Genomic DNA, 14,498 nt, shown 5'->3' on the forward strand with positions numbered 1-14,498 from the left:
GAGAGGCTGTTTCACGACAGAAGTCACCCATGGAGGCAAAAGCCTTGGAGTTCAAGCCACCCCCGATTCTGTCCCACCAGGGAGAACTACCAGCCAAAACCCAGAGTGACGGGCCGCTCTATAACTGTTCATGGCCCTAGGACCCCAGAATTCCATGCTTCGAACTGTGCCCCCCGGAAATAGCAGGTGATGTGTGCAAAGGGGTTTCTGGCAGGGTGGTTAAAAGAAGGGAGATGGCTGGGCGCAATGGCTCACACCTGTAATCCCAGCACTTTGGGAGGTCAAGGCGGGAGGATCACTTGAGCCCAGGAGTTCAAAACCAGCCTGGGCAACATGGTGAAACCCTGTCTGTATTATTAAAAATAATAATAAAATAAAATAAGAAAGACAAATTCCTAACTTTATAGGAATCATTGGTGCTTTTCTCACTGGGGGCCCCTTTTCCACCTGGCTCTTCTGCGTAAAATCATTTTAAGGAGGAGAAAACCATAATTACAATCTCCTTAGGATGGCAGAGCACTTAAGGGACATGTCAGAGTGCTGAGAGTGGACTCCTGTTGCTAGAAAAGGCAGCGTCACCGTCATCATTTCATATTCAGAAAACTAGAATTAAGTACCTGTCATTTTTGTAATTCAGACCACAGTAAGTAAAGCTGGAGGAAACCTCCATGGCTGGAAGAGAGCCACAGAAGCTCAGCAAAGTCTTTTTTTTGAGACAGAGTCTTGCTCTGTTGCCCACGCTGGAGTGCAGTGGCATGATCTTGGCTCACTGCAACCTCCACCTCCCGGGTTCAAGTGATTCTTGTGCCTCGGCCTCCCAAGTAGCTGGAGACTACAGATGTGTGCCACCATGCCCAGCTAATTTTTGTATTTTTAGTAGAGACGGGATTTCACCATGTTGGCCAGGCTGGTCTCCAACTCCTGACCTCAGGTGATCCGCCCACCTCGGCCTCCCAAAGTATTGGAATTACAGGTGTGAGCCACCACACCCGGCCCCAGCAGAGTCTTAAGCAGGACAAAGCTCCCCACCCCCAGGGGAGGGGGGATGTCTGGAATTCCAAAGCCTAAGATTGGGGCTGGTTGGGGGTTGAAACAGGTTGAGAAAATCTGGACTAAATGCCCTTTAAGATGTACTGAATTCCGCCAGTCTGTATGAAATCCTCTTGCTGATTATCGATCGTTGGAAGGGAATTTTCAGTGTGATGTGAAGTGAGAATTTCATGCTCGTTTTGAGGATCCTCACCCCCACCCCATACACACATAGGGTAACCTCTAGAAAGAACGATTTTTTTTTTTGAGACAGGGTCTTGCTCTGTTGCCCAGGTTGGAGTGCAGTGGCATGCTCAGGGCTCACTGCAGCCTCCACCCCACCAGGCTCAAGTGATCCTCCCACCTCAGGCTCCCGAGTAGCTAGGGCTACAGGTGCATGCCACCACACCTGGCTAATTTTTCTATTTTTTGTAGAGACGAGGTTTCGCCATGTTGCCCTAGCTGTTCTTGAACCCCCAGGCTCAAGCAATCCACCCACCTCCGTCTTTCAAAGTGCTAGGATTACAGGCATGAGCCACTGCACCCAGCCCTCAGAATGAATTTTTAACCCTAGTTCTGACTACTGAATTGCAACAGCCTCTGGCCACAGTCAAAGCCCCTGCCTTGCTGCCCCACGCTCAAGAGATTTAGAGAAGGCCAGATGCCAAGCTGCTCTGGGGAGCCTCTGCTCCACCCTTCCTCTCCCTGGGGACTGGCCTTCCCCCAGGTGGGTCCCCTGGAGCCTGGGTGCCTCCCCAGCTCTTTCTAGGCATCCCATAAACATGCTCTGGGTGCCAACACCCCTCCCCACCTCTAAGTCCCCTCTTCCTCGTCAATGCCAATTTCCTTCCAAGAAGGATCCTCCTGTTCCATTCTTCCTGCTGGCTGCCTCCCCGCCACTTCCTGGCAGAGCCCCAGTGAACCCCATTGCCTCTGCCTAGTTAATCTCTCTCTCTCTCTGCTTCTGGGAATTCTCTTTGCTCTCAGCCTCTTTCTGTTGATTTTGCTTGTTTATTTCTCTTCCCACTCATTTCTTCATTCATGTATTAGGATTTAGCACAATTATTAATCATTTTTACAAAATGTCTTATATAATATCCACATGCCTCTTGTACAGTGAATTCCAAGAAGGCAGAGTCTGGGTTCTTCTCACACATGCCTGACACATAGTCGATTTTTGGCGAATATGTGAGTGGATGCCCTTGTCCTCCTCTTCCTTTTCCCTTCCAGCCGGGCTGACCGCCCAGTCCCTGATTTCTGAGAACAAGCTGCAAACACTGAGAGCTGCGCTTTGAACCACTGACTAGGCAGTGGGCTGGCCTGCCTTCTGGCCTTAACTCCTTCCCTCCTGCCTTTTTTTTTTTGTCTTTTTTTTTAGAGACAGGGCCTTGCTCTGTCATCCAAGCCTAAGTGCAGGGGCTTGATCATAGCTCACTGCAGCCTCGAACTCCTGGGCTTAGCCTCAACCTCATGAATAGTCAGGACTGGGACTACAGCTGAGCACCACTATGCCTGGCTAATTTTTATTTTTTTAATTAATTTTAATTATTATTATTATTTTTTGAGACGGAGTCTCACTCTGTCACCCAGGCTGGAGTGCAATGGCGCAGTCTCTGCTCACTGCAACCTCTGCCTCCTGGGTTCAAGTGATTCCCCTGCCTCAGCCTCCCGAGTGGCTGGGATTACAGGTGTGTGCCACCACCCCCGGCTAATTTTTGTATTTTTAGTAGAGACGGGGTTTCGTTATGTTGGCCAGGCTGGTCTCAAACTCCTGACTTCAGGTGATCCACTTGCCCCGGCCTCCCAAAGTGCTGAGATTATAGGCGTGAGCCACCATGCCCGGCCTCTATTATTTTCATTTATGCACATTCCCTTCCAGACTTGCTTTGTTTGTATGAAAAAAAGAATTAACATTTTCACCATCATGGTGCATCAATCATGTATTCTACTTTTAAAAATTCTTGAATATTTAGTTTCCCATGTCACTACCAAGTCTACCAAGTCTCTGTTGATATCATTTTAAACGGCTACACAACACCCCCTTGCATTTTTCTTTTGTTTGCTTTTTTTCTTCTTTACAGAGGTGGTCGAGTTACCCCCCTGCATTTCTTGGGTGTTGACTTTTTTTGTTTTGTTTCCCTCCCAGTATGATTTTACCCAAGCTCCTGGTGTGGCAGGGCCATGCAAGTTCTCACCAATCCTTTCTTCTTCCAGACTGCACCTGGCTCTTTAAGCCTAACCCATCCTCCCACCCCTGTGGGGGCTCGGGTCCCTTTTAGTAAACAAGGACCGGCTCTGCCCCACCACCTCACAGAGGCACAGAAGCACTGTTCAAACACACATGCCCATGACATTGCCACCCACAGATTAGGAACAAAGACGCTGGAGTCTTAAGTCCTCTTGGAGACGCAAGGTCTTCAAAGCTTGCTGGCAAATGTGATAGTCGTGTTCTTTGCCAGGGCCTAGAGAAGGCACTTAGAAAATACCTGTGTAGAAGCAGCAGTGGGGATGGTGGGATGCAGTGACCCAGCAGGCATTTCTAGCCCCACTTCGCTTCTAACACTTCTGCAGCTGCAAATTTTTTTTTTCCTTTTAAGAGACAAGGTCTCTGGCTGGGTGCGGTGGCTCACGCTTATAATCCCAGCACTTTGGGAGGCTGAGGTGGGTGGATCACGAGGTCAGGAGTTTGAGACTAGCCTGGCCAACATGGTGAAACCCTGTCTCTACTAAAAATACGAAAATTAGCCGGGCACGGTGGTGCACACCTGTAGTCCCAGCTACTCGGGAGGCTGAGGCAGGAGCATCACTGGAACCCGGGAGGCGGAGGTTGCAGTGAGCCGAGATCGTGCCAGTGCACTCCAGCCTGGGTGACAGAGCAAGACTCCGTCTCAAAAAAAAAAAGAGACAAGGTCTCACTCGTTGCCCAGGCTGGAGTGCAGTGGCATGATTATAGCTCACTGCAGCCTCCAACTCCTGGGTGCACCCTCCAACTCCCGGGCTCAAGTGATCCTCCAGCCTCAGCCTCCTGCGTAGCTGGGACTACAGGTGTGCACCACCATACCCACCTTATTTATTATTTTCTGGAGGGATCGGGTCTTGCTATGTTGCACAGGCTGGAGCAGCTGCCAATGTTAATTAAACCTTGGGATCTCCTCAGAGGATTTAACTGGCACCAGGTGGAAAGATTTCATCTGGTCCAACAGGATCACTGTACAGATGGGAAAACTGAGGCCCTGAGAGATGAGGCAGTAGGCGTAGGAACACCATTCTGGATGGCCCCTGAGCTGTTTTCAAAGCACCTCTGAAAGAGTGCTTTCAAGATCTGAAATGAGAAAGTAGTAGATCCTCAAGGGAGATGAAGTTTGACCTGGCACTACATTCTGAAAAATTTGAAAAACTGACTCCTTCTCAAATACTTTAAACCAGGATTTTCACATGAGGCCTGAACACCAGTCCAGGTGGGTGGGAGGTATAGATGACTAAGAGAATGTGAGAGGGGCCGTGTGAACAGGAACAGGTAAGACCAGTAAATCCTGGGAACTCCCAACTCACCTTGCCTTGCTCCAGGGACAAGCACTGGACCTGAGGAGTTTAGGGAGGTCCCTGGCAAATGCCTCCAGGAGGAAACAGAGTCTTCCTGCTGCCTGTCAGGACGGCTGACCCTGGGCCTGATCTCAGCTAATTCAGCAGCTCAGGGGGAGGACACCACCCCCGTATCTGCTCTGCATCTCAAATACACCAAGAGGGCTGGCCAGGCAGAGGGATTGCTATTGATTTTCACTTGTGCGGGCTGACCTAACAAAACCAATCCATCAAGTGCCTGTCTGCCTCTGCTTCAGACTCTCATCCTAAGCACGTGCAAATAAATTGCACCAGCATCCAGGGTGATTTGTCAAGGTCCAGCCAGGCATGGGCCCTGGCTTCCACTGATAGGATGGGGCTCCAGGCTAGGCTGGGCTAGGGTCAGCCCAGTCAATGCCCCGCTGTTGACTCGCCATTGAGTGACAACACGCAGTGTGGCCTGGCATCTGCTGCCACGCTAGGAACTGGTTGGCCATGCCTGGGAAGGGGCTTTGAGGAAACAGGCCCAAGTCCCACTCACTTTGACAGGGCTTGGCAGCGACATTCTCACTTGTTTCTTAAGGTTTCTGTCCGAACTCTAGATTTGGGGGGATTTATTACAATGTAGATACAACCATGAGGTGCTGAGTTTGGGTACTGCCTCTGCCACTGGCTGAATGTCCTTGGGCCAGTTGTGAGATGGAGATGACACCACCTACAGGGGTCTAGAACCCTGTAAAGGCCAGGGTCCAATCCCTGTTCTGCCACTTCCTAGCTGTGGCCGGGGCAGGTGCCTTCAGCCCTCGGTGCCTCATTTTCCTTATCTGTACTACCGGGCTGAAAATGGTACCTACCTCTTACAGTGGAGCTGTCATAACTGAATGAGAAAATGCAAAGGACCACAGGGGCTCACCCCACCCAGCCCTTCATTCCACTAGCAAGGACTGGAGGCTCAGAGAAGGGGGTGATGTTCTGGGGTCACACAGCAAGGCAGAGCAGCATCAGAGGGGTTACAGGAGCCACAAGCAGGAGAGGATGACGGAGAGAGTACAGTGACCATCCTGCCTTCCTGTCCTCCAGCTGGCAGCTGTCCCTGAAGAATGAGACACAGGGAATGTGGGTCATGGACATACACAGATCGTTTGAAAGGGTCAAAAATTTTATTAGCAGGACTTTTTGTGTTTTTGAATATACAGGTTTCCTGCTGTCCAGGGTAAAGGGGAAGTGGTGTCTTGTGGCCCGAGGTTTGGGGCGCTTGCCTTGGGACTCCATCCCCATCTCTTTCCCGCTAGCGCAGCTGGGGGAAGGTGCCTGCTTGCCGGCCCCACGGATTCTTCGGCTGTGGCATAAGGCACTGTGTGTTCTGCAGGAAGGCGCTCATGGCTGGCTGGTAGATGAGAGGCGGCCTTCTCAGGGGCTGCAAAGCTGAGGCTGTTGAGGGGTTGAGTTGAACTTGGGGCCCCTAGTGAGGAGGCCCCAGGCGATGGGAGCACGGCCTGGTGAGTCTGGTGCCGCTGCCTCCCCACTGGCCCTGCACCAGGTCTCAGGATGGGATCATGCCTTTGCTCCTCTTGCGGTCGGCCATGGTTCTCCGGTTGTGGTTGGCTCTTGTCGCCTTGTTGGCTTCCTTCTTCCTGCGTTCCTGGGTTGTCTCGCGGCTCTGCCCATGGCCTCGGGGGCTGCCGGCCACTGCTGTTGAGCTGTCATGCCGGTACCTGAGGGAGGAACAACCCACCCCACGAGAACCTGTCAGCCGGAAGAGGCTCTGGCGGGAGAGCCCACAGCCTGCCTTGGTGTTCACTGGGAGAGGACACAGACTGGGCCTGGTCACTCATGTCCCAACTTCAGATGGAAGGAGAGATGGAGCCCAGCAGGGGCAGGGCCCTGGGGCTCTGACCAGCCCCGAGCCTGGTGTTTTCTCTTCTCTGGGCCTTGCTTCCAGGTCCGCCCATTGCTACGTGTAGCGGAGGAACAGCTAGAGAGCTGACACAGCCTACAGGAGACGGGGAGGGCTTCAGGTGGGTCTCCTCCTTTCTCCCTCTGGGGCCACATGCTGTAGCTGAGACATTACTCCTGTTCTCTACCCTAGGGCTTTGCCTGGCAGCCTCCAAAGACCAAGTGCACTCACAGATGTGACCTAGGGCCCTTTCAGACCATCTTGACCACTGGGATTTGCCAGAGCTCCGCACTCAGGGGGCTGGGATGGATGAGAAGTCAGGGTTGCTCTGCTCCCTGCTCAACAACCTTCTGTGGCTCCCCACTGCCTTCAGAATGAAATCCAAATGCCTTCCCTGTGGCCAGGCCTCCTGAACCCAGCAGACAGTGCTGCATGAAGCCTAGGGCCGGGATGCGGGAGTGGGCTTCTACTCCTGGCTTGGCCTTAGGTGGAGGCAGATCCTTGGCCCCTCTCAATGTTTCCTCACTGGGAAGATGCGGGGCCTGGATGAGGAGTCTCTGGGTACTGATCTCAGCTCCCCTCGAAGATCCCTCTCCTGACCACGCCTGCTTTCTTACTTTTCTGCCCTCATATGACAAACTCCTCTGAGCCCTTTTCACCCTTAGGGGCCCAACTCAAGTGCCCGTCACTTCCATACCTCTATCAGCCAGAAAGGATGTGTCTGTGTCTGTCTGAGCTCTCTCACATTTACACTCTGCCTGATATCAGCTAGCCCTGGACACGCTGGGTGATAAATCCCCTCCTGTGTTCACCAAGTAATGGTTATGAGTGGGGACCCTGGAGCTGAGCCATCTGGGCTCCATCTTTGCTACATCACCTACTAGCTGTGTGACTTCTGGCTGGTTACTTAACGTCTCTGGGCCTGAGTTTTTTCATCTGTCAAATAAGGATAGTGATAATGGTAGCTACTTCACTGGGTTGTCGTGAGAACTAAATACACGTGGAGCACTTAGGGTGTACGTGTGGGTTTCCTGGGTGGCTGGCTAGGCCCTCCCCAGATGGTGGGAGGGGTCCCCCCAGAAGCAGCCCCTTGAATGCTCACCCTTTCTTGGCGAGAAAGGCCATGCGCCTGGCTTCTGCCTTCTCTCTCAGCACTGCAGGGTCCTGAACAAAATGGTCGGGCTGTGGAAAGGAGAGGAGACCAAATCTGGAGTCAGGAGCTGCCACATTTTCCTAAGCGGCGATGAGGCCCTGCTCAAGTGAAGCTTGTCGATGCCTCCATGCCAGGTGTGGGGGGAAGCTGCAGCCTGGCAGAGCGACGCCCAGGAATGGAGTGGGATTACTGTGGTCTGAGGTTTCCATTAGGAGCCCCCTGCCCCACCTCTTCCCTGAGCGGGTGGCAGCTGAAGGGACTGAGGCTTCCTGGACAGGCTGGTAGAGTGGATAGACCATAGTTATGGCATAACAATGACAAATGGGAGTGGTGGGGAAGCCAGGATGGCCACTGTGAGAGGCTGTGCAGGGCCCTGAAGACTGCGGGAGCCACCGTGGGAGCTAAGTGGTCCCGGGAGCTGCAGGCCTAGGCCTCACTGTGGCACCACTAGCAGCATGTGTGGGAGTGCCCACTCTCAAGGACAGCCTTCTCTGCCAATAGTGCAAGGAAAAACTGGGACCTAGGGACCACAGACAGGCTTTGGTGGCCAGTAGCTTTAAAAAGGAAAAAAAAAGGCCAGACACTGTAGTTTACATCTGTAATCCCAGCACTTTGGGAGGTCAAGGTGGGAGGATCACTTGAGTCCAGGAGTTTGAGACCAGCCTGGACAACACTGTGAGATCCCATCTCTACAAAAACACATAAAAACTAGCCAGGCGTGGTGGTGTGAGCCCATAATCCCAGCTACTAGGGAAGCTGAGGTGGGAGGATTGCTTGGGCCCAGGAGTTTGAGGCTGTAGTAAGCCATGACTGCACCACTGCACCCCAGCCTAGGCGACAAAGCGAGACTCTGTCTCTAAAAAGAAGAAGAAGAAGAAGGCTGGGTGTGGTGGCTCATGCCTGTAATCCCAGCACTTTGGGAGGCCGAGGCAGGTGGATCACCTGAGGTCAGGAGTTGGAGACCAGCCTGGCCAACATGGTGAAACCCCGTCTTTACTGAAAATACAAAAAATTAGCCAGGCATGGTGGCGAGCTCCTGTAATCCCAGCTACTTGGGAGGCTGAGGCAGGAGAATCACTTGAATCCGGGAGGTGGAGGTTGCAGTGAGCCAAGATTGCACCATTGCACTCCAGCCTGGATGACGAGAGTGGGACGCCATCTCCAAAACAACAACAACAACAACAAAACACACACACACACACAAAACTGGTAGGTTTTACATAAAAATCTGGGCTGACCCCTTGCCTGAGAAGCAGATAAATCTGTGGAAACTCTGAGTCTGTGCTTGCACCGAGGAGCCCCTGAGGCAGGGCACGTGCTTCCCACTGCTCAGCGCAGTCCCCACCAGGCCCCGCTACTCATTGCCGTTGGTGACCTGGCCCCAGAAACATCTGAATTTGTCACCCTGGTGTGGGGCATGATCCCAGGTTGCTGCCCTGTCACCTGAGCAGTACCGCGTTTATCTGTTCTGTACGTTGAGGTTCTAGTTAAGATTTCATTCAAATAAAAAGTTTAGCTGCTAAAAAGTAGAATTTTCTAACTTACCGATCCAGATGACCTCCCAGGGCCCTTGGGCTCTAACTCCTCTCTGATTTTAAGAATTGCCATCCTGGGTATGGTGCTGCTAACTGCCCTTCTCCTGACTCCTAGGCTCCTGGGCCTAATAATGAAGCTGGTGGCTCAGAGGCCCTGCCTTTAATCTGTCCCCTAGGTCCTCACTAGTGGGCAGCAGAAGTTAGTTCTAAGCCAGTAGCTCTCCAAGCAGACATCCTGGGCTCAAAGGGACTCCTCCTGTCCCTGCCAGTGATGCTGGGGCTGCCTCAGGGCCAGACATAGGGAGGGGTGAGGGGCCCTTCTGATTCACCCCTCAGAACTGCACTCTCCCCTTCATCTGCTACCTGCCAGGGAGGTACCTTGGGAGCCTCCTCGTCAGCATCGTCTTCCTCATCGTCGTCATCCTCCTCCTGCCCTTCTCTAGGCACTTTGGTTCTCAGCACCTGAGGGATGGTGAATGGCCTGAGGGTGTGGAGAGAAATGAGATCAAAGACGAGGTTCAACCAGGAGCAAGAGCCACAAGGAGGAGGGAACCTGGTTGGGTGAGATGGGGCCGCCAGGAGGGCTCAGGAGGTTGGGAAAAACCAAAAGCCTTTCAAGCCAGATTTGCTCCAGCCCCTGGATTCTCTGAGGTTACCAGAATTTGAGGTGGGGTTGAGGGGGAGACTGAAATGGGGCCGGGAGAGTCTCCAGTCCTCTCTTCAGTCGGGACAGCTCTGCTTGGATCTGTATTGGGGAATCGCTGTAACATTCCACCTGAAAACATTTTCTTCAATTAAGAAGAAAAATGGACTGAGCGCGGTGGCTCACGCCTGTAATACCCACACTTTGGGAGGTTGAGGTGGAAGGATCACTTGAGCCCAGGAGGTGAGACTAGTCTGGGCAACATAGTGAGAACCCCACCTCCACAAAAAATAAAAAAGTTAGCGGGGTGTGGTGGTGCACACCACACCTGTAGTCCCAGCTACTCAGGAGGCTGAGGTGGGATGATCACTTGTAGTCCAGGAGGTCAAGGCTGCAGTCAGCCATGATTCCATCACCGCACTCCAGCCTGGGCGACAGAGTGAAACTCTGTCTCAAAAAAGAAAAACGCAAAGCTACTGCATGACACCGAATAAATGCTGCCCCATTCAGGGTGGGCTGGGGTGGAGGAGCACTGGATTAGGAGTCAGGAGGACTGGGTTTGGGCCCTGGATCTGCCACATCTGTGTAAACAAGTGGGTGAGGGAGCCCCATGGGCCTGAGAGCTGCTCTGCCCTGGAACGCCACCCCCACTATGGCCTCACCTGCGGCTGATGAGCTCGTCATCAGAGTCTGCATCATTGGCGCCCACCTGGTTGCCATCGTATGTGTCATCGTACTCATCCTCGTAGTAGACACTGTGGTAGGGCAGGCTCTCGCCTGGCTGCAGTGGCACCTGCAATGGCATAAGCATGGGTCTGGGGGGCTCAGGGGCTGGCCTGGTTTCCCTGGCCCAGCAGAGACCTGGCCTTGGTGGCCTACCTCCTCCACCACCACGCTGTACTGCTCGTAGCGCTGCCGCTGTGCCGCCACTGCACGCTTGTCGTTCAGCAAACTCCGCGTGTTTTCCTCCTTCCTGGTGCTGAGAAGGAACAGCAGAAAGAGAGGAAGGAAAACCATCAGGCTTGGAAGGCCGCAGGGTACGGAGGGTCCAGAGACCACAGGCTTAACTGCTCCAGCCCTCAGACTGTCACGGAGACAAATGAAATCAAGCATTGGTGAGGGCGTGGGAGGGTGGGACTGTCACTGCTGCTGGTGCCCATAAGGATGGCTCCAGCCACTTTAGAGGGCATCCCAAGAGCCACTGTTTTTTTTTTTTTTTGAGAGGAAGTCTTGCTCTGTCACCCAGGCTGCAGTGCAGTGGCACGATCTCGGCTCACTGCAACCTCCATCTCCCAGGTTCAAGCGATTCTTCTGTCTCAGCCTCCCGTGTAGCTGGGACTACAGGCCTGGTTAATTTTTGTATTTTTATTAGAGATGGAGTTTCACCATGTTGGCCAGGTTGGCCTCAAACTCCTGACCGCAAGTGATCCCCCCACCTCAGCCTCCCAAAGTGCTGGGATTACAGGTGTGAGCCGCTGCGCCCGGCCAAGAGCCACTGTTAAAAGGTAAAATGGGGCTGGGCGCAGTGGCTCACTCCTGTAATCCCAACACTTTGGGAGGCCGAGGCGGGTGGATCACAAGGTCAGGAGTTCAAGACCAGCCTGACCAAGATGGTGAAACCCCGTCTCTACTAAAAATACAAAAATTAGCCGGGCATAGTGGCGGGTGCCTGTAATCCCAGTTACACGGGAGGCTGAGCCAGGAGAATCGCTTGAAGCTGGGAAGTGGAGGTTGCAGTGAGCCGAGATCACGCCACTGCACTCCAGCCTGGGCGACAGTGCAAGACTCCATCTCAAAATAAATAAATAAATAAAAAAGGTAAAATGTGCGTACCTTTCAACCAGGATATTCCCTGTCAAGGCATCTGCCCTAAAGAAACACCAGCTCTGTGTACAGAGGTCTGATTAGGGATTTTCTTTTCAGCATTGTTTGCAACAGTGAAAAATGGAAAGCAACTAATGTCCATCATGAGTGAAAGAGCCAAATGAACTGTGCCACATCTGTATTAGATCGTTGTGTGGTAGTTGTCAAGAAAGACATTGATCTATTTGTGCTGATGCGGAAAGAATTCTCACTTATTCCCAAGGAAAACAAGCAAGCTACAGAAAAATGCGTACAGTATGATCCCAAAAGCAAACTACGCTAACTCTGTTTCTATGGCCACACGCCTATGCATGACAATGCAGACAGAAGGCTAGGAAGCCCCACGCCAAATGACAGTGGTTACTGCTTGGAAGCACCTGGAGTTGTCTAAATCTTTTTTTTTTTTTTTTGTTACAGGCTAGAGTGCAGTGATATGATCTTGCAACCTCCGCCTCCTGGGCTCAAGCGATTCTCGTGCCTCAGGCTCCTGAGTAGCTGGGAGTACAGGTGCGTGCCACTATGCCTGGCTAATTTTTGTATTTTGTTATAGAGATGGGGTATCTGCCATGTTGGTCAGGCTGGTCTGGAACTCCTGGTCTCAAGTGATCTGCTTGCCTCAACCTCCCAAAGTGCTAGGATTACAGGAATGAGCCACCGTGCCCAGCCTAATTTTTAAATTTTTTGTAGAGACAGGGTCTCACTATATTGCCCAGGCTGGTCTTGATCTCTTGGGCTCAAGTGATCCTCTGCTTCAGCCTTCCAAAATGCTGGGATTACAGGTGTGAGCTACTGTGCCCAGCCTGGATCTCTTAAACAAAATTTTTTTTCATTTTAAAATTGTTATTCGTTTATTGTTTTTTCAAAAATGACCTTTCCTTGCCAACAAACAAAAATTTAAGAAGCAGTAAGGCCACATGTGGCTTTCTGACTGAGCTCAAGGGAGCCATAGGGATATCTGGGGTATAAGAAAAGGGGGTTCCCAGTCCTCTTCCTATCACCCCCACCTCACTACAGCAGCCTTCTGTCTCTTCCACAGCTCAAGTTTCCATGTAAAATTTCACTGGAAGAAAATGTTTGGAAGCCCAACTCTGGTCACGTTACAGGTGAGGAAACTCGGGTGCATTGGGTGGGAGAAGGAACATGTTTGGGTCACAAGTGAGCTGCAGCACAGCTTCGGCAGGGACTGAGGCTTCTCAACTCACGGCTTTGCAAACCTGTGAAAAAACCTGGCTTGTCAGAAACATACCCAGGCCTGTGGAATGTAGCTTCTAGCCCTGCAGGGGAAAATCAATATGAGATGCCAGGCAAGAAAATCCAGCTTAGCTGTGAAATCGGGTCTCTGGAATGTATCAAGGGTAAGATAATAAAAAAAAAAAGAAAAGACACAAAGCCAAACAGAGCTTCCATAAAAATCTTCTATTAACTGGCTTTTGGTGCAGGGAGAGGCAGGCGTCTGAGTCCATCTCAGTCTGTCAGGCTATCTGCCTGGCAGCCAGGGCAGGTCAGGACTGCAGCCTTCAGCATGGCGGGCTAGGGTTTGCCTCCCTTCACATCTTTTTTTTTTTTGAGACGGACTCTTGCTCTGTTGCCCAGGCTGGAGTGCAGTGGCGTGATCTCAGCTCACTGCAACCTCCACCAGCCGGGTTCAAGCGATTCTCCTGCCTTAGCCTCCCCAGTAGCTGGGACTACACGTGTGTGCCACCAAGCCCAGCTAATTTTTTGTATTTTTTTTTAGTAGTCTTTATTAAGGACCTTCTCTGTGCCGGGCAGGGTATGAGGCTGAGTTGGGGAGAGATTCAGAAATGAAGAAGATAGAGATCTGCCCTCATGAACTCAGTGTAGTGGAGATGACAGACCAGTCAACACGAAATGTGCTGAACGGAAGCCCTGGAAACAAAGGGAATGAACTTGGTTCAGGAGGTCTGGCTGGGCATCTGTAGGAAGGGGTAATGGAGGCTCCACGGTAGGGGGTTACTTGATTGGACCAGGAGCCCCAAGGTATGGCAGGAGGGATGGTGCACTTGATTTAGACCAGGGAGAAATCTCAGTTCAAAGAAATCTTTCACATCCACCAGGGAAGGGGCCTGTGACTGTGACCTTGGCCCTGTACCTGGCTTTCTATGCTAAGCTGAAAAAGAGGTAGAGAGGAAGAAAAAGGAGCCCAAGCTTGTTCAGGTGGTAGGTGCCACTGGTAGGAGCACACCCATGCATTTGACACATATTTCCTAAGGGCCTAATAGGTTCCAGGACCTGTGCTGGGCCAGGAGACTGAGGAAGAATGAGAGGCATCACCATCCTTTCTGCTACACCTTCGGCTTCTGGTCCATCCCATCCCTGGTTCTGTGCAGTGGGGCAGTTCTTTCATGCTGTGTGGCCTCTGGTTATGTGGCTCCCTGGCAGGGCCAGGCAGAGAAGCATGGCAAGCTCCACCCACCCTAGCTATGCCCTGGAAGAAGACACAGGTAGGGACAGTGAAGCCCGGGCACCTGGGCAGCTTGTCCAGGGAGATGCAACCTTGGCCCCAGACCTCATTTGGAGCCAGAAAGGAAAAAGAAAAATCAGGACCAAAGCCAGCTGGGAAAAGATGCATCAGAGGCCAGAACTTCAGTCAAGCCTGGAAACACAGGCAATGGTGGCTGCAGAGACCCTCTGGAGCAGGTAGCTTCCTCAGCCTCCAAGATGGGAGCAAGCCCTGGGAATATGCAGGTGCCCCTGAAACCTCGCCACCTTTCCCTTCCTCATCTCCTCAAGCCTGTCCTTCAAGGCCCAATTCAAACTGGTCCTTAGCAGGGTGACTCCTGCCTTTGAACTTCTAAA

At 52.2% G+C, this 14,498-nt stretch overlaps 1 protein-coding gene across 57 annotated transcripts in view, besides 1 other annotated feature; it reads right to left on the bottom strand.

Annotated features, from left to right (window-relative positions):
- Positions 247 to 420: a silencer, noted in NCBI's record as "fragment chr22:30179115-30179288 (GRCh37/hg19 assembly coordinates)". NCBI's record gives its function as "represses an EF-1alpha promoter that drives an FKBP-Casp9 reporter gene in an ReSE screen in K562 erythroleukemia cells {active_cell/tissue: K562}" and the evidence as "EXISTENCE:reporter gene assay evidence [ECO:0000049][PMID:32094911]".
- Positions 5,732 to 14,498, bottom strand: part of ASCC2 (activating signal cointegrator 1 complex subunit 2) — a 49,664-nt gene continuing 40,897 nt past the window's right edge. For 38 of the 57 annotated variants that reach the window (NM_001369942.1, NM_001369947.1, NM_001369936.1 and 35 more), the window contains 5 exons: positions 10,698 to 10,797; positions 10,481 to 10,611; positions 9,554 to 9,656; positions 7,590 to 7,669; positions 5,732 to 6,305 (listed from right to left, as the gene is read on the bottom strand). In NM_001369942.1, the coding sequence (NP_001356871.1) occupies positions 6,134 to 6,305; positions 7,590 to 7,669; positions 9,554 to 9,656; positions 10,481 to 10,611; positions 10,698 to 10,797 (586 nt within the window). In that variant the 3' untranslated portion in view covers positions 5,732 to 6,133. Of the gene's footprint in view, positions 6,306 to 7,589; positions 7,670 to 9,538; positions 9,657 to 10,480; positions 10,612 to 10,697; positions 10,798 to 14,498 lie in introns of all 57 variants that reach the window. The other 19 variants (XM_011530455.3, NM_001369925.1, XM_047441541.1 and 16 more) reach the window with 3 other exon arrangements.

Source organism: Homo sapiens, chromosome 22 (assembly GCF_000001405.40).
Source record: "Homo sapiens chromosome 22, GRCh38.p14 Primary Assembly".
Taxonomy (NCBI): Eukaryota; Metazoa; Chordata; class Mammalia; order Primates; family Hominidae; genus Homo; species Homo sapiens.